The 20576-nt window shown below is 33.0% G+C and overlaps 1 annotated feature.

The window, feature by feature from the left end:
* Positions 13938-14529: an enhancer, noted in NCBI's record as "NANOG hESC enhancer chr2:193600042-193600633 (GRCh37/hg19 assembly coordinates)". NCBI's record gives its function as "activates a minimal SCP1, AML or CMV promoter by ChIP-STARR-seq in naive H9 embryonic stem cells {active_cell/tissue: H9 hESC(naive)}" and the evidence as "EXISTENCE:reporter gene assay evidence [ECO:0000049][PMID:30033119]".

Below are 20576 nucleotides of genomic sequence, written 5' to 3'. Positions count from 1 at the left end.
GGGGCACTACCATGAATTAACAGGAGCACTGAGGGATATTTTAAAGTTTCTAGGAAAACAGAGTGACATCTATTGGGCACCAGGCAAGTTACAACTGTTAACATGGGAGCTTACTACTTAATACATGAAGCTGATAGCTTTGTGCTTTGTTTTTATTTAACTTAGGTGCTTTGTGAGAAAAAACAAGAACAAAAGCAAAAAAACCTGAGACACTAAAGGTGTCATGAACTCAGAGATTTTCAGAACCACTGTTTTATACATAATTTCAGTACAACGTGCAGTGAAGCCTCAAGCTTCATAGTGAAGCATGCTAAGATCAATTTTTAAAGAAAGCATATATAATTTTAAAAATTATTTGTTTCATAAATAACTGCAATTTATTACTAAAAAATGATAAAATGACTTAATGAACATATGCCAAAAAAATAAGAAATTATAGAGATGTATCTTTATGACATCTATGTAAAGGAAAATTTTATAAAGAGATTATTAAAGATGCTGATTATAAAATTTAAAAATGTTAACTTCAACACAATACAATTTAAAACTTTTATCCATCACAAGACATAAAGTAGAAAGTACACAACAAACTGATAAAGGTATTTTCAGTAATATAATAATTAGTATCTAAACCATATAAAATTCTTATAAATTAATGAGAAAAGCAATCCAATAGGAAAAAATGGGGAGCAAAAATAATAAGCAAGCATTTCAGCAAAAGTAAATTATAAATGGTTAAAAAAGAAACAATTCTTAAACATAGAAAATGCAAATTAAAAGCACACTGAGATTTTATTTTATGCCATTTGATGGGCAAAAATTATTGTTCGATCATACCAAACTTTGGCAGAACAAGCAACTATGTGGGCACCAATATACTCATACCGGTAGTATAAATAGGTATAATTACTTTGAAAAATGATTTGGCATTATCTTGTAAATTCGAGCATGTGACAATCTTATAACCCAGCAATTTTTTCTTATTTTTTTACCTTAGAATAACTCATACACATGCCTCAAAAAAGTATACAAAATGAAATTTAAAACAGCATTATTTTTGTAACAGCAAAAACAGAAATAGCAGAGTATCTATAGACAAAGGAGTCAATAAACAAACTGAAATTTATATAGTCGAATGTCAAAGAGATTAAAAATAAACAAATTATACATGCCCAACACATTACTGAATTTTAGAACCATAATGTTAAGTAAAAAAAGCAAAGCACAAATAATATAACTACAATATATTATTTAAAAAGCTTAAAACAAGGAAAGCTATATAATCTTATGCAGACATATGATAAAACAAAAATTTTAAAAGCAAAAGAAAAAAACACACAAGTCGGGAAAGATGTTGCAATGGGGGAGATTCAAGTGTTAATGTTTTAGTTTTTAAATTAGATGATGACTTTATGGGTGGTATTGTATTATTATTGTTATGCTTTATATTTATATATTCATTAGAATAATTTTTTGCATTTTAAAATATTTATAATACATGGAAACATATGCATGTTTTCATTCAATCTTCACTAACATACTGAGAACTAATTAAATTCCATACTACTAAAAAAAACACAAATGCTTAGAATCGCTTACCCATGTCACTCATCCAATTAGAATCAAATTGGAATTAGTACCTTTCCAGTGCTCATATCACTTTGCAATGAACATCTTTTTTTCAGAAATTGCAGAACGCAAGAGGGATCTGATAGCATGAGGTTTTCCCTAGACTACTTTGTGGAATTGGTTTAATGCCATAATGGACTCATACAAACATCCTTTTAATTAATTTTAAACATGACTCAGAAATATAAGTCTTTTATTTATTTATTTATTTTTAGTGTGGCAAGTGGGAGGGGGAATGATGTTGAGTTGGTTCCATTTAGCTCCACATGTAGACAGGTTCATGAGCCATTCCTTTCTGCCATCACTGGTGGACTAAGCACATAGGCTCTCTCTTTATCTCAGATACTTGCCAACAACCTGAAACTTTAAAAGTGTTAGTGGCAGTTTAGCAGAAATGAGGGGTGTCCTCACAGGATAATTTTATTATGAATACAGCAAAGTCTCAAGACGTGCCTAAGTATCATCCCTTTTGAATGGTCAATGGAAGTTATGCTCAATGTTCATGAAAGAAGAGATGCTAAAAGAAAAGCCAATTAACTCCGCTAATACTTTGGTAAAGGCACTGTGTGATGCTTATAAAAAGAAGACTAAATGGTGTGTGTTCTCTAGCTTGAAACTCATGCAATTCACAGACTAAGAGATGGGTGGTGCTTGCTAAAATTTTAGTTGGGCAGTCTCTCTGAATGTTAACTCATGTAAGGCAAGGTCCCACTGGGGTTAGCTCTCTCTTTTCACACCCTATCAGCTTCATTACTTTATTTTTCATCCTTCTTCCAAGCCCTAGGAATTCTTTCTATCATGGGTGAAGCTTTGCTTTTATGCATAATGTAGTTTCCCTTTGCCCTCAAATTTCTTCTGTGTCATTTCTTTACTGGATAATAAGCACAGAATGTTCTCAGTTGAATCATTGCAGGACAGCCAACTGATACAACAAAATACTAGACATCATTGTTTGGATTATTCCTTCACATTATGATCTAAAATTTACTCAGGTGTTTTATTTACACTTGTAACCTGCTAAATAACTGTTGTTAGCAGAACGACTGGTAAGGCACTTTCGTTGAATAACATGGGTCTTTAATGAGATTTTTCCAGATAATTAATGTTATTGTGGGTATAAACTGCGGATATTATAAAAAACGTAATTTTATCCCCAGAATGATTATAATTAATTTTCATTTCATTCCACTTAATACTGAGATGCTATCTAAATCTAAGGTTAAAAAATACTTTGTAAGTAATAACACTATCTTTAACAGTAGACATTTATAAATAAATGTCTATGTATTGTTTGATTATTGTCTTATATAATAGGGCTTGCAACATATGATTCCATTCTTTATCCAGAAGTAATTTATATAACTAGCTTTAAATCTCCATAAAATAGTAAAACAGTATAAGGTTTAATGAAGAATGCAGATTTCAACCATAAATAGCCTTCTATTTTAATATTTGCAGTAATGTTTAGATACTAGTAGTTATGTTCTGGTTCACAGTAATTACATTGTTTTATTCTGTTCTTGAAGTACTTCACACAGGTGATTGTTTCTGCAATTGTTTTATATAAATTATCTTACAACTCATTTTGAAATGTAGATTAATGTTATGAATTACAGTAGTATTCCATAATCATCTATGTGTGGTTTGAGCAAGAATTGCCCATACAAGCCCTAATCCATGAAAAAATGCAGAGGTCGGTAGTTCTCTTCAAACCTGTTACTGAGAGTCCTTTTGCTTATTCAGTCACTAGAATATAAGATTCATAAAAGCAGGAGCTCTGTTTTGTGTGTGTGTGGGTTTTTTTTTTTTAACCATTGTTTCTCCGAATCCTAGAAAAGTGCCTTTCACATAGTCACAAAGTCCTAGGATTTAGGATTTGTAAGCACCACATAGTCGGTGCTCTGTATTCCTTAAATTGATGGATTTAGATTTGCTCTCAAGTTACTGACAATCCTGTTGCTGCAAACTTATGCCTGCCTCTGCTTATGAGTAACCTTAAACCTCAAGACTCAGAATATACCAGTGTAAGGATATAAAATTGAAATAAAAGTCTAAATAGAATCAATGAATATTCAAAAGTGTGAAAGTCATTGATATAAGGGACCAATCTCCTGTTTACTCATATAAACTTACTTTGAATAGTAGATTAAAAGTCATTAAGTACAAAAATATTGATCTAATATTCAGACATGTACAATGATGGAAAGTACAAAATAAGTCATATTTTATAATTAGTTTTATTCTCTTTTAGAAATATGATTCTATGTGGATTTTTTTAACCAAGTTACAAATAAATTAACACAAATTTTTAAACATGTAGTTTAAGTAGCACTATCTCTTTGGTGACGCTTTTATTAATTCTGAAGGAAAAACTAATCAACTGTGAATTGATATGTTCTTTTACATCTTTGAAAAATGCATGATTAATACTAGTTTTAACTCTGATTTTTAAAAAATGACTCCAGAGATAGTAGACATTGATGTAGCCACAATAGCTCTAAGGGGTGTTGACATTTCACTTGGTAAAATGTTAACATGAATTCACCTCTTCAAAAATAAAGTTATTAGTATTGAGCTATGCAATTCTAACTAGAGACTATTTAAAAAATTAAAGTTGTACTATAGTTTAAAGAAAACTTTTGAATTAGCAGTTAAATCCACATTAGTCAAGTGTCCCCAGTGATTAATTAGAAGAAGATCTAGAAGTGTTAATTATGCCACTAGGGAATCTTTAAAGTTGGTTCTGCACTTGCTTTGAAGTTTTGTCAAAAAAAGGACTTGGGAAATATTTGTATGTGTGATACCTAGATATACAAGTGCCACCAGTTTTCTAAATTATATTATAATAAATGTAGCACTTTTATGAGTCTATTCAAACATAATCACATTGCTCATAGAAATCTAATTTTTAAAAAGTTTAATTATTTTTCTTGTAAATTGGGCTTGAATAACTATTAATTTTTCATTTACTCTTTAAAATTCTGAGAAATATCTAAATCAGCTTTAACAAAATAATGACTGAAGAGCTGCTTTGTGAACAATGTTTTTCTATCTAATTTAGCCTTTTTAGGTGGTTTGATTTCCAAAAAACATAAAACCTTAAGTTCTGAAATTCTGGATGTTAAAAATTATAGGTGCAGTTGCAAAAGCAATATTAAAAAACATCAACAACAATATGAATGTACAAAAGATTTTATCTGTTTTCTTGGCAACAAATGAGGACCAAATTCAGAATTTCACCTGTTTAAGCTTACTGTAACTACAATCCTTCAGTGTTGTCTTGCAAAGTCCTAGGATCTGTAAGCTCCATGATTCTTTCCTCAGTAGAGTTAAAGAAAATATTAGATGAATTTTTTATGTTTCCGGCTAATTCAGAGAAAACCAGTTATACAAAATATTACACCATTTTTTACAGCATATATTCACTCACTTTCTAAACCAAGTCCTTCAGTTTTCCTAACTACACAACAGAGTTTTTGAAGCTAATGGTAAATGTATACGCAATCTAGTTGGTCTCCATTCAGGAAATTTGTATTTGTTTCCTATTACTGTTAAAATAAATTACCACAATTCAATGATTTGAAACCAGTCATAGTCATTGTTACAGGTTTAGAAGTCAGAAGTCTTAGGGATGTGTTCCTTCTGGAGACTTTAGCAGATACCTATTAATTTGTCCTTTCCTTTTTCCATTTCTATAGGCCACCTACTTTTCTTGGCTCATGGGCCCATCCTCAATCTTCAAAGTTAGCAGGGTAGCATATTTTCTCTTTCCTGACCTATTACCTCCCTTTTAAAATGATCTTTGTGATTAGCTAATTTTATCATTTATTGGGAAAATCACAGCTCATAGATTATTTGGATTGTATGTATCTAAATGAACATTTTGCTCTGATAAATATGTTTTGGTTATTGTATGAAGTTTTTTTTCTTTATATGATTGTGTTAAGATATTTAGCCAAACTTTCAAAGAGCAGATAGTACTGATACACTATAAATTGTTCCCAAACATTTCTAAAATAAAACAATCCTAATATCTTTTATACAACAAGGAAAATATTGTGTCTTAAATCCGATAAAGAAAATATAAATAAGTTTAGACCAATATTATGAAAAAATATTCCTGTAAAAATATTAAATATAATATCATAAAAGAGAGCATAAGATAACAAATACAAAATGACTAAGGACTAAGTGAAATTAAATCCAGTAATTCAAGGTTGGTTTGATATTAGAAAATGCACTAATATTATATAATATATCAATAGTTCTGAGGAGAAAAACATATGCTTATTCCCATACATGCTACAAATAATTTCAATAAATTTTAACAACCATTTCTTAATTTTTAAGTCTTCTAAAAACATAATTGAGAAATACTTTAGTGCTAAAGTCAGTATCTTAAATGCATAACAAACATTAGAGACATTTTTTAGTCAATCCAGGAAAGTCTGACTACTATTTCTGCCACAATTTAACATTTCACTAGAGGTTTTAGCAAATGCAATTAGACAGAAAAATAAAATAAACAACTTTTACACAATCCTGGTGAAAATGCAGTGGCAAAACATTTCCAGAGGACCAAACAAACCTCAAGTGAACTTACCTTTTAACCCAGAAATCTCATTAAATAGAAGTCTACTGTGAAGGCGCACTTCCAACAATAAACAATTTCATAAGCAGAAGGTTATTCCTCACAGTCTTGTTCACAATTACAAAATATTGGTAACAATGTCATTGCCCATATTTGGGAAAGTAATTAAAATGTGATGCATTCACACAATGTAGTGCTGGGTAATATAAAACTAGAAGAAGGAAATGTATATAAACTTACATAGAGTGATTTCCAGGATATACTCTTAAATTTTTTAAAAAAGAGGAGAAATAGAGACTCCATAGCATGTTATATTCTTCCATAACAAGAAAAAGAATATAATTTTGGGGGGGTTATTTTTATGAAAAAAATATATCTATAAGAAACAAGAAAATAATGAAATTGATTACCTATAGAAGATGTTAGAAATGAATTGAGAAGACAGTAGAATTTGTAGGACATAGCTAAAGCAATGTTTGTATAATTTTAACTTATGAAAGTTTTAAAATATTATAGAATTAAATGCTCATATTAGATAACAAGAAATATCTCAGATCTTAAGTTCTAAATTCCAATATTATATCTTAAGAAAATAGAAATAGAAGAACTAATGAGCCCTGGAGAATTTTCAGTAATGTATTAATGTAGGTAACATTAATTAATTTAAAAAGTAATGAAATATTTTTAACAGTTTTCTTCATAAAACAGTTGTATTATTTTAAAATATCATCTTTTAAATTCATCTAAAACTTATTTGCTTAATTAAAATGCAAGAGTTACCTTGAATATTTTCTTTCAAATTAGTTACGTTGCATTTTTATCATTTTATAAATTTTCTGTTTTTCTCTACTATTTTAATACTTAAGTGCAAAAAAAAGTAATTTTCTTAACAGTATTATCATTAATATTCATATATATTTATGTTTAAAGATCATCTTTCAATTCAATTTATATAAATATGTATGTTTGAAACATCATTAAAAGGTTTAAAATTATTTTTCTTGTGCAATATTTATCTTAAATTTTGTTATTTCTGATTTTCAAATATATTTATAGACATAAAATATTTTATCTTTTATTTTAACATGAAAAGAAATTAGCACATATCTGAGACTCTTGAGACTTTACCAAATCATTTTATTTATTTTCTTTTCTCATAAAACCAACTTGTCTCCTATAAATGAAGCAAAATGGAGCTTATTCTTTGATGGCAAATATATGTTTGTTTCTCTATATTCTAAATTCAGGTTTGATTTGTGTGCATGTGTATGTGTGTATAACAGAATTATTCATTTTGTTATACAAACTCAATATAAAGTCTTTAGTCGTATTTCAGTATCCATATAACCATTAATTTCTAAAATGTTTCAGAAAAACCTTATAATAGCCTCTCCCTGCATGATACTTTAGACATTTCAAGAATCACTTTTGTATATGTGACCAACTGAAATATTAATGTTTGGGAACAAAAGCCTCTTCTTCTAGGGGAAAAAAAAAAAAAAAAAGGCTAAACTCTATTTAGAGCTTCCATTAGGTGTCCAGAGGAGGGAGCCAATAGGCACATATGGGAGGTCATCTTTTTCTCCCAAGCTGGAAAAAGTTTTAGGGTGTTTGTACCACAGGTTGTAGAAACTTAAGCAAAACTCAGTGGCAGTGCCCCAGGGAGATAGCAGGGACTCATACAATGAGTGTAGAATGACTTATGGAGCTATAAACCAAAGAGAAGTCTCTTTCAAGATTCTAACAACTTTGAGGGTGATTTAGAGACAGGAGGGCAATTCAGCCTGAAGGGGCGATGGGGATTTCACTGATAACCAGCATGGACATCAATATGAATGAATGGTAGGGGCCATCTAGGGCCTTTCATGCAAGTTAAGCCATCAGAACTTTGCAGACCTCAAGCAGAAGCCCTAATAATAAATAAGATAAAATTTCCTGAAATATGGTGGGATAGCAAGATGGATTTAAGTTTATTTAAATTTTTATACACGCCTTAATTTATGGAATGAGATTCATTTTCAAGTACCAAAACCATATATGGAGGAAGTACTTTTTAATTTTGTTTTCTCTTTAAAAATTATTTAGATTTAGTTTACCCATTGGAAACTAAAACATGGTATGGAGTTAAATTACACTCTGTTAATGGTAGATAGTTAATTAAATTTCAAATTAATATGTATAATAAAAACTCACTTTCATCATTGTTTTGAATGTAATAGTAAGCATTACCCCTCGTATTGATATTTTTATTTTCTTTAAGACAAAATTTTTTTCAATATTTTGCCTGATTATTTTTAATGGAGAACAAACTTGTATTTTATGTTTTTTTTCCATCTGTCATTGACGTTTTGTTGAAACTCCCATGATTACAAATCAATCTGATTACTCTCAATGACTAATTCTTGTTCATTACTTGCCCTTTCCACACTCCTTATTTATGTGGGGCACGCTGTCAGAAAATGCCAGAAGTCTACCCTTTTATAATTTTAATTCACCTTAAAACTAGTATGTATATGTACAATTTTTAAGGGTATAAATTTGTTATTGAGAAACTGGAACTGCCCATTTGTAGTTCCACTTCTACATATTCTGCTCCCTTCTTATTTAAGAGCTCATTACCTTAACAGCTTCCTGAAAAAATGTAAGAGTAACGTTTTTCACCCAGCTTCTGAGAATAAAACTTTTTTATAGCAGTGTTCATGCTTCAGCCCTTTGACAGTGCGTACAATGCCATTTGTTTCTTTAAAGGGATGTTATTATACAATTGCTTCCTAATGAACTCTTTAAAATCAGCTTATAAAAACATCTGCACAGTATTTTCATTGAGATATTTTTGCAAAATAGGCACATTGCTATGTTTAGGTAAACTAAATATGAGATTTGCAAAATTGTCTCATACAGGTGAACAATAATATTTCCTTGGAAAATTTGCAGTTGTTGGAAGTGTTAGAAGTGCTCAGACTCCCCTTTTCTGATATTTTATTTATTTTGCTGGTCAGTAACTATTCAGAGGATGACAATGTTCAGTTACAGTACCAGCATACTCTCTTTTGCTATGGTGTACTTTGTGAATAATTGATCTAAAACCTATATAATTTTGGAAATGGCATTTGATCCCGTGTAATTCAGTATCCTTAAATGAAATAGAAAACTGGGATAATAATAGTATATGTTCATTGTTTTATATGTAGATTACATTTTTTCCAATCATTAAATAAATGATTTTAGATGCTATGCACTCATGAGTTACATAATTTTACTGCATTTAGTCTGTAAAACTCTACCTTCAGAACATGACATGTTGAGCTTTCTCACTGTACTATGCCTTCAGCTTAAATATTAGCTCCCCAGAGAAATCTTTTTACCCTATCTAAAGTAGCCACCCTTAACCAGCTTTGTGTTTGTTTTGTGTGTGTGAACATATGTTATCATTTCTCTGGAATATATACATAGGAGTGGAATTGCTGGGTCATATGGCAACTCTAAGTTTCACAATTTTACAGAGTGCCAAACTGTTAATGTGAAGTAGTATTTCACTGTGGCTTTATTTGCATTTCCCTGTGAATAATTATTTTGAGCATATTTTCCTGTGATTGTAGGTCATTTGTGTAAGCACTTCAGAGAAATATCTATTCAAATTCTTTGTCCACTTTTTAATTGGATTATTTCTTTATTTACCATTGAGCTCTAAGAGTGTTTTTGTGATCTGGACAGCTTTATCTAACATATGATTTGCAAATATTTATTCCTATTCTGTTGGTTGTCCTTTTATTTGCTTGATGATATCACTTAAAGCACAAAAGTTTTCAATTTTGATGTAGTTCAATTCATTTTTTTCTTTTGTCACTCGTGCTTTTGGTGTCATATCTAAGAAACTATTGCCTAACCTAAGGTCACAAAGAGTTGCTCTTGTATTTTCTTCTAAGTATTCCATAGCTTTAGCTCTTAAATTTAGGCTCATAATCCATTTTGAGCAAATGTATATAGATGGTGTAAGGGAAGGTTCCAATTTCATGCTTTGGCACGTGGCTATCCAGTTATCTGAGCATCATTTGATAAAAAAAGTTTTTTCCCCATTGAATTGTGGCAGCAACCTTGTTTAAAAAAATTCACCGTAACTGGCCAGGCGCGGTGGCTCAAGGCCTGTAATCCCAGCACTTTTGGAGGCTGAGGTGGGCAGATCACCTGAGGTCAGGAGTTCGAGACCAGCCTGGCCAACATGGTGAAAACCCATCTCTACTAAAAATACAAAAAAATTTAGCTGAGCATGGTGGCGGGTGCCTGTAATCCCAGCTACTCAGGAGGCTGAGGCAGAAGAATCACTTGAACCCAGGAGGTGGAGGTTGCAGTGAGCCGAGATCGCACCATTGCACTCCAACCTGGGCAACAAGAGTGAAACTCCATCTAAAAAGAAAAAAAAAATTCACCATAACTAGATGAGTATATTTCTGAAACTTCAAATGTATTCTATTGATCTATAAGCCTATCCTAATGCCACCACCACACCATCACTGTAGCTGTAAGTAGTAAGTTTTAAAATTGGAGAGGTTTAAGTACTCCAAACTTTTTTTTCAAGACTTCTTTAGAAATTCCAAGACTCTTTCATATCAATATAAAATTTAGTATCTGCTTGTCATTTTCATAGCTTGTCTTATCTATTTTATTTATGTTTAAAATATAATACTTGTATGCTTACTCCACTAAGGAAATATAATTTAATTTTTTGTTTGCAAATATTAACTATATTTAAAATGAAAATATGAGAGTAATTTATAATAATGCAAAATGGTAAAATATTGAAGGATTTACTTTTTAAAAAACAATATTAGATTTGAGAAACATTCTAGATGAAGGGTCACTAATAGTTGAAAGAATTGGGGGAATCAAAAATTATTGAAAAATGGAACTTATTATACGTTCAGGGAGAAAAGTCCTGATTTTTATATGCAGCTTTGGGAAGTGTGTGGTATGGATAAGCTGTTTCCAGATAAGTTACAATGCTGAAAAAATATGAAGCATGGAACAAAATGGCAGAATAGGAAGTTTAAGGTCTTACTCGACTACGGAAAGAAACAACAATAAAAATATCACAGGTTGTCTGAGCCAACCTTGTCAGAGCTCTGGAAAACAATCAAAGGTTCATAGCAACCACGAGAATACCTCAAGAAAAAAAAATCTTTAAAATGGTAGAAAAGTGTTGTGGTATTTTACTTGCCCTCATTCTAGTTACATGTTGGTCTTGATCTCGAATGACGGTAGCCCAGGATCCCCAGTTCTCTCCCTCGAACTGGAGGGAACAGAGCTAACTTTGCAAATTATTGTGTGTATCTGCTATAACTCTCCTGAGAGTCACCTAAAGGACTGACTTGCTCATCTTTGGCTCACATAACTCAAAATGCAGGTGGAAAATCGGGAAGAAACTGCTTGTTAAAGATATAAGGGGATTAAAAACTTAAAATCCTTGGGCAAGAGATTCCATGCGGAGACATAAATAGACCATCCAAAGCATGGAAAAAAAGCTTGGGTGAGACTCTGGAAAAGGTGGAAACAAACCAAATGTCCATCAACAGATGAATCAGTACACAAAATATGCCATATACATACAATATAATATTACCAGCCCTAGAAAGAAAGGACATTCTAACACATACTACAACATGGATGAACCTGGAGAAAATTATACTAATCGAAGTTAGCAAAACAAAAAAAAGGACAAATATTGTATGATTCCACTTATGAGATATATGAAATAGACTAATAGAGACATAAGTGTAATGGTGGTGGATAAGGGCTGAGGTGAAGGGGAAATAGTTATCATTTAATGGGTATGGAGTTTCTGTTTGGGATGATAAACAAATTCTAGGAATGGATAGTCATAATGGTTGTACAACATTGTGAATACACTTAATAATGAGGTACGCCATAAGAAATTATTCAGCAACCATATATTTACAGAAATATAGTAAAAAAGCATGGCATGCTTGTTAGCCACATCTTCGGTAAGGATTTCTGTTTTATATTTTGAGAATATCTCAAGTTATAAACATATATTCACCTATCTCTAAATTTATAGATATTTAGCCATATTTTCTAGGAAAAATAAATATAATTAATCAATAAATATAAGGGAGGGAAGAAAAGGTTAAATGGAGGAAGGGAGAGAGGGAGGGATATAGACAGTCAATTTTACAAAATTGACATCAAAAAACAGCTACATATATTCCAACACTGTAATCTAAATATATAAACTGCTATAAAATATGATGAAAGAAACAAAAGTGAAGGAAAGGCTACTGTTCTCTCACAACTTCAGCTCCCATAACATTCATGCATTGTCTTAAACATGAGCAAAGGTATTGTTGTTTGTCCTACATATTTGCCTAAATTCTCCCCCTAGGTAAATACGAATTCACAAAATGTGGTAAGGAGCCTATTTATTACTCTGTGTCTCCTCCCTTTACAACATAGAATACCATTAAATATAAGCCAAAGATGAGCTACAAATTGAAATCTTTTTAACACTATTGAATATGAAATTCTTACATACTTACCAATACTACAGCAGTAAACCAGCACTAGAATAACACAGTTTACTGCCATACAATATTAATGCTGTATTTTAAAGAAAAACAGAACACCAAGAAAAGATTTTGAAAGTCTGTTTTATTCTCTTCCCATGAGGTTTATTATTTTCATAATTTTGCCAAACTAGTAAAAACAATTTATCAATTAGCAGGGCTTGATCATAATATTCACAATAAAATAGTGGTTTTATGCAATCAAATCTAAAGAGAAGAGTTAAGTAGAAAGCTGCAGTATGCATGACAGTTCACAAAAAAGAAAAATACTCACCTTGAAGAAAAAAAGATCTCCACGTCAGAATAATTTAGTGCAAAAACACAAATAAACATTACTCCTTATCTTTCTTCAGCATATAGAAAAATAAGAAGTTTTGTTTTTCTCTCACATCAGGAAAAAAGGTAGAATTAAGATACAAAGAAAATCGTGTCTCAAATTTTCTGTTTAAAACAGCTCATTTCTAAGAGTAATTTGTGGAAATAAATTAGACAAAAACAGAGAAAGTTCAAAGGAAATGTGACTTTACTGTCTCAATTTTGCAAATGTTAATGATCTGTATAGACCATATATATTTACCTCTTAGATAAAACCTGTGGTTTATATTCTCCAGGCACATTTTAAAGCTGATAAAAGTTGTTTCCATAATGGCTTACATAAAATAGACAATATGAAAATAAAGTGTGTTTATAAATATAGGCCTAAATCCTTCTAGTCATATAAAAGTACATGGTTTGACTATAGGTCATTTAGTAGTTGTTTGAGCTGATAATCCTGAGCACTTGCAACCTTATAAGGGCCCCCTTTAGGATTTTCAATAAAACAATGAAAGAATGCAGAAATGAAGCTCAGGAAAATACGCATGTGCTGTCATTATAAAATGTGAATTAATAAGACATGAAAACAGAGTTTAAGAACAGATTCAATTGAACAAGAATTGAAAGAGCATCTTCTGTGCACCAGGAATTATGGTTACCTCTGAAAATATAGAGATACATAATATTTTCTCCTAATTTCAAGTTCACAGCTGTTAGGAGTGAGAAACATGTCACTGAAATGCATTAGAATATGTTATGACATTGTGATACGTGCAAAAATAGAAGTTTGTATCCAAGATACAAAGATAGCATGGAGGGGAGTCTTCCAGGATGAAGGCTGTCCCATGGGGAGATAGTCTTTCCTGGTGAATAATAAAGTTTCTAGAAATGTGACTATGTGTGGGAAGGGAGTGTGGGAGAGTGAAGAGAAAAGGTAAGTGTTGTCAGCAAACACTATGGTTTGCCCAAAGAAATACAGTGTAATACCATTGGTAATGTTATAGTGTAAAGTCGTGGGGAGGGAATGTCAGGAAATGAGAGAGAGGCCAGACTGGGCAAGCCCATGAGTTCATTTGTATGACAAATGAAAGTCTGGGACATTATCAAGTGAAAGGGAGGCAGTAAAGATTTAAAGAGAGAAACGTTATTAGAATTGTGATTCATAGAATGTCTGTTAAGTCCAGGAACGGAAGAGACTAAAGTGCTCAGGTTAGAGCAGGGAGAAGAAGTGAGTGGCAAATGCAACAGTCCAGTAGACATAAGGAAGTCCTTTATCAGGTAGTCCTATACATAAAAAAAAAGACAGACTATTAAAATTATTTTAGAAGAAAACAGAATAGGATTTAACTTTAACTTATACAGAGGTATATCAGGGAGAGGGAGAAATTCAGGCTTCAGAATTTGAAATGGGGGAGTTGATGCTATCAATGAAAAGAAAAGATATATCAATAAAATATAAGAGGGTGGTCTTTACTGGGTAGAATGTAAAAGCTTATGTTGGACCATACTGAGTTTTAGTTTCAGGAGGTCATCAAAATGCCAATGTCCAATGACAGTTGAATTTTAAAAAATCAGAATCTTCAAGGTAATTAAATTAAACAACATGGTGGTTTGGGAGGTATATAAGACATTATTAACCAATCATCTTTGTAGAAGTAAAATTAAATAGGAAAGAAATGATACTGGTCTCTTTTAGGATGAAGGGAGGGTTGCAAAATCAGATAGGGACACAAACAGGTGCTTCTGAGACTCTCAGATTGTTCTACTTCTTGACATGTAGCTTAGGCAGGTATTTTCTTTTTCTTTTCTTTTTTTTTTTTTTTTTTTTTTTGAGATGGAGTCTCACTCTGTCACCCAGGCTGGAGTGCAGTCGTGCAATCACGGCTCACTGCGACCTGCGACCTCCACCTCCCGTGTTCAAGTGATTCTTCTGCCTCAGGCTTCCCGGTAGCTGGAACTAGACACGCGCCACCACGCTCAGCTGTTTTTTTTTTTTTGTTTTTTTTTTTGTATTTTTAGTAGAGATGGGGTTTCACCATATTGGCCAGGCTGGTCTCGAACTCCTGGCCTCGTGATCCGCCCTCCTTGGCCTCCCAAAGTGTTGGGATTACAGGCGTGAGCCACCACGCCCGGCCAGGTATTTTCTTTATAGCTGTTTGTTACAATGTGTTTATGTTTTATGCATTTTTTCAGCTTGTGTATTCTGTTTGCCATGAAAAATGTTTTAAAGATGATGTTAGAATTATATTCTTTTATCTGGTTATTCATAGGCTGATGACGTTTATAATTTAGGAGTTTAATGAACTAGTTTTACTGTGAGATATGTAAACAATGTTTAATTGTACTTGCAAGCTTCCATATAATCTCTAGTGGTATAAATGTAATTTTGTTTGTTTGGAGTATAAAAACTAGTGGAGTCTGAAAAGTATTATAAAAGATATAAGAAAGAAAAGATTTGAAGTAATATATGGTATAATGGTGTCTTCACAACAGTTTTATTATAAAAGCAACTCAACACAAATATTTATTTAATGCTCAGATGTATAAAAATAGAAAGATAGTTGGACAGTTGGTCACTATATAGATAAAATGTGAGCCTATATTTACCGGAGATTCTTTCCAAGTAGAACTTGAATTCAACTAAGCCTCTAAAGATTAATTCCTAGTTATGGTAAAAAATACAAACTCAGTGACCTTAGAAGCAGTAAACATTTATGACAGGCTAATTATTAATAGTTTGTTCTTCACTATTATGAAGAAATCTAAATTTAAGGCAAAGTGTCTAAGTTTACATTTAAGTATAAAAGTGTGTATGGTTTAAGGCATAACAAAAGAAAATGGTGAGGAACGTAGGTATGAGGAAGAGTGCTACTCAGTGCTGTAATTTTATCAAAAAAAACTGTAGGATATAATTTAAAATCTAAGTACATGGTTTTTGCTTCGTCAGTATCTTAGATCTGATGTCGTAGAAAAACTCTGAATAAAAGATTTTCATGCAAGAGGTTAATTGGTAAGAACCCTAAAATTAAAACTTAAAGAGAAATAAATACAAAAATTAGCCGGGCGTGGTGCCGGGCACCTGTAATCCCAGCTACTCGGGAGGCTGAGGCAGGAGAATCGCTTGAACCCAGGAAGCGGAGGTTGCGGTGAGACAAGATCGCGCCATCGCACTCCAGTCTGGGCGACAGAGCGAGACTCTGTCTCAAAAAATAATAATAATAAAATAAAGAGAAATAAAGACAATAGGATTCGGTAGAGGGAGGAGTTCATCTGTGAATCTCTGATGCACTCACAACAAAGGATTCCACAGCAGGTGATTCCACAGGGAGTTCTGGAACCCAAATGGCCCTTCAGCGTTGTCCGTGAGGCAAAGGGGATGGGAAAAACCTATATATCCTTGTAGCGAACAGCCATTGGAGGAACTATTCTTAGAGAGAGAATTTAGCATTGAGTGAGATGGTTTTCTTAGTCTGAAAGATTCAGCTCTGAGCCATCAAGCAGCCAACTGAAGAACTACACTTCGGGTGTGAAGGAGATTCATCAGTATCCACCATAAGCAATGAAAGCTGATTCTCAGATTAAAAACAAACACTTAAATATCAAAGCAGACCAATGCATGACATTTTAAATATATTCTTAGGGGTAATAGGTGATATTTATTTTTTCCATATCTCAGGATTTGCTAATGTACTGAATACTGAAGTTATTTTTAGAGTATTGTATTTTCTGTGGTTTCAGGTATCACTATTTTCCAGTTATATTTGTAAGGGTCAAGCTCTTTTTTTTTTCTTATTAAAGGGACAGGAATACTATTAAATTGATGAAATAGCTAAATCCGAGAATGAGGCTAAGACTTTTGTGCCCTGTAATAACCTTCTTTATGGTAGATTTCTGATTCTTTGGCCTTTATTGACAGAAGAAAACACATTTTGTCAGCATGTCAGCCAAAGATAGCATTTACAGCTTCTAAATAATTAGGTATTGATTAATTTCACCAGGAATATATGGGCCATTTTTTTCAAACTTGCCCATTCTTAAAGATCATATGATTTCAACTAGAAAAATCACAAAACAGAACCTCAATTTCTAGTAGCTAGCTCTCATTGCCTATCCTACACAATTACATGTGTGAGCTGCAATTGCCCCCAGGAACACAGGGATGATAGCATCAGTTTGTTAAACTTCCTAGATTTTCATTCTTTGAGGTAGAAGAGAATTGCTAGCCTTTTCTTCTAAACTTTTTAGTTGCAAATGAATATACGCATTAAGAAGGCCCAAAATGCAATGATGATGTGACAGGCTATATATGACTAGATAAAAATAATAGCAGACCTTACATCCTAGCACTCTCAAATGAGAGATATAAATGTTTTTCAGCTAAAGATTTGTAAGGTCAGTGCCATGGTCTAGAGTTGATGTTAGCACATTGCTTGAGTAACAGCCTTTCAAGGGTCATGGAGTGTATTAGAGAAAAAAAATATGTTTTAGTTTCTGGTCATTTGGCTATTTCTACCTTGAAAGATACTAACAATCATTAATAAAGGCATTTTTGTGACAGATAAATATAGATATATATATGTAGTTATAGAAGTCTATGAATATACAAATAACAACTATTGCAAGATATAGACATAATAGACTCTTGGCTGGAAGAGCATCCAAAGTTTCTAGCCTTATTATACTTCCGATAATGTTTGGCATGTTAGTGGTTAAAATATTGGCTGAATCTTCAAAGATTTCTGTGTTCTGAAAAGATTAACACAGAACTGCTTCCTCTCCTCTGTGAAAATTGTAAACTCTAGCCTAAATTTATCTAAGCAGTAATCAGTTAAAAAGATGCTTCTAATCTCTCAACTCAGGAGACATAATTTTTCAGTAAAAATAATGTCATCAGAAGTATGTCAAGCAATTTTGAGGCATATAAAGTTAATAATCACTCCTTCTATATTTACGCGTCCTAAAGTGGGCAATGGGGACATATTTTTTCACTTTTTTATGTTAATATAAAAAAAGCTATCTATAGATAGATAAAATTACAGCTATAGATGAATAGATAGATAGATGGATAGACAGATAGATAGACACATAGAGTATGTAGGTAAGAAGAACTTAGAGATACATATGCATACTTCTTTCTTACTAAAAATATGCTCATCATATTACACTCTAACAAACATAGAGCCTTGCTAAAGGGTATAGAGCTAGTAGGCAGGTGAGTATACACCATTAACACTTACCTCAAAGCACTCAATTTAACAGGGTAGAGGGATTTATAAACAAATTTTTCCACATCATAATGAAGCATATCTAAAAGTTGGTCTAATAGAATTCATAAAATAATTGATCGAGAAAAAATAATTCTAGTATCAACAGCACTAATATTATCAGTGCTAACTTAAAATTTATGATACACACAATTGATTGATTGAGATATGGTCTTGCTCTGCCACCTAGGCTGGAGTGCAGTGGTGCAATTATAGCTCACCATAACCTCAAACTTTTGGGCTCAAGCAATCCTCCCATCTCAGCCTCTTGAGTAGGTGGAACTATAAGCACATGACACCATGTCTGGCTAATTGTTAATTTTTTGGTTGAGACAGGATGTATGTTACCCAGGCTGGTCTTGAACTCCTGGCCTCAAAAGATCTTCCCTTTGTGGCCTCCCAAAGTGCTGGGATTAGCAGCATGAGGCACCACACCTGTCCTGACACATGGGGATACTTTTTTTTTTTTTTTTAATGATAAGGCCTGAAAACAGGCAAGCCATACTAAGGCCTGAAAACAAGCAAGCCATACTACACACTATCATTTGCTAGCTCTAAAGGTAGGCTAGTTCTGTATGTCCAGCTGTGTTTTCCTTTTCTTCCTGGGTAATTGAAATACTTTTGTTAAATATGCCTTCATGCTTCTACTTATTAATAATGCTAATTTAAACAAAGCTGTAAAAAGAAGTAGTATTTTAGTATGCAGCCTAAATTATCTAGGAAAACTCAGTTTCTTTTAATGCGTGTGAGTGAATTCTGAGGATCATCAAATGTTAGAGTTCACAATTTATTTATTTATTTATTTACTTATTTAACAAATACTTGGAGTGCCTCTCATACCAGGCACTTTTCCATGCCTCAGGCTTCAGTAGTAAGCAAGTCTAGTGGGAGACAGAGACAATAAAAAAGATAAACAAATACATGATTTTGTACCTTAGAAGATAAGTGATAAGGAGAAAAATAAGCAGCGGGGTGGGATAGGGAGTTTTTGAGGCAATGGAATTTTAGAAAGGATGTTCAGGAAAGGCCTTCCTGAGAAGCTGATCTTGGACCAGGGGGCATTCACTCTGCAGGTATTTTGGGGGAGGCAAGAAGGGTAACGAGAAGTTCCACTTGTGGGAAGAAAAGACCAAATGCTCCATGAAAGGCGCTTTGGTTAGTGATTTATAGGAGCAGCTGTTATAAGACAGGATTAGAAGGTGTTCAGAACAAAGGATCATGCTTCTCTCTTTTCCCATATGGCTGTGAGGACTAATGGTATTGTACAGAGGACGATATGAAACTTAAGGGAGGGGACTTGATATGGCTAAGTCAGGTTTGAGGTCCACAGCACAAAATTGTACCAAGCAGTGTGCTTACTGTAGTCTTATTAGATATTACCCCAGAACATTAGCATGAATTTCTGGAGGTAGAGGAATGAAAAATTGAACCCGTCAAAGTACCCATATTTTCTGCTTGCCTATGCACAGCAGAACTTCTACTTATTTGTGACTCAATTGCTCAAAAAGTACGTTCCTAACTAATGAATTAGCCTGGGATAAATGATTGAGCTACACATTTATTATTTCCTTTATAATAATCCAATGGACAATATCAAAACTGCTAGTCAGTGTGCCTGTGGAAAAGCGCAGGAGCACCACTGCTCTGGTGTTATTCTAGAAAGGTATGATTCTAGAAAGCCCACCTCTCCACACTAACACAGCCCACATTTAGGGTTCCTGACTTGGCAAGTAGAACACAGTGTGGATTTCAATTATTCCGCCAAGCTAATTAGGCACCTTTGTTTGGAGTACAACCTGCTCCAATGTACCCGTCAGCACTGATCAGATTGATTGCAGAAGGCAAAACCAAGAGGAAAGCATATCTGGAGTATTACTTGCCATCTGTATCTCTAAATGGGTACACTGGGGAGAGGGGGTTATTTGTTCTCTCAGACTGAAGTGAATATTGTCAGAAACTGTCTAAGCTTTTTGCCCTTCCTTCCTTCTTTCCTTCTTTCCTTCTTTCCTTCTTTCCTTCCTGCCTGCCTGCCTTCCTTCCTTCCTTCCTTCCTTCCTTCCTTCCTTCCTCCCTTCCTTCTTTCCTTCCTTCCATTCTTTTGGGGGAGAGAGAGAGGTTCTGGATACGCTATTTGTCTTATCTCTGATTACAATTTTGAGTTTTCTTACATATGGAAGTTTTGTACATACTACAATTACG

The sequence above is a fragment of the Homo sapiens genome, chromosome 2, assembly GCF_000001405.40.
Source record: "Homo sapiens chromosome 2, GRCh38.p14 Primary Assembly".
Taxonomy (NCBI): Eukaryota; Metazoa; Chordata; class Mammalia; order Primates; family Hominidae; genus Homo; species Homo sapiens.
This window is presented reverse-complemented; position numbering and strand designations above follow the sequence as displayed.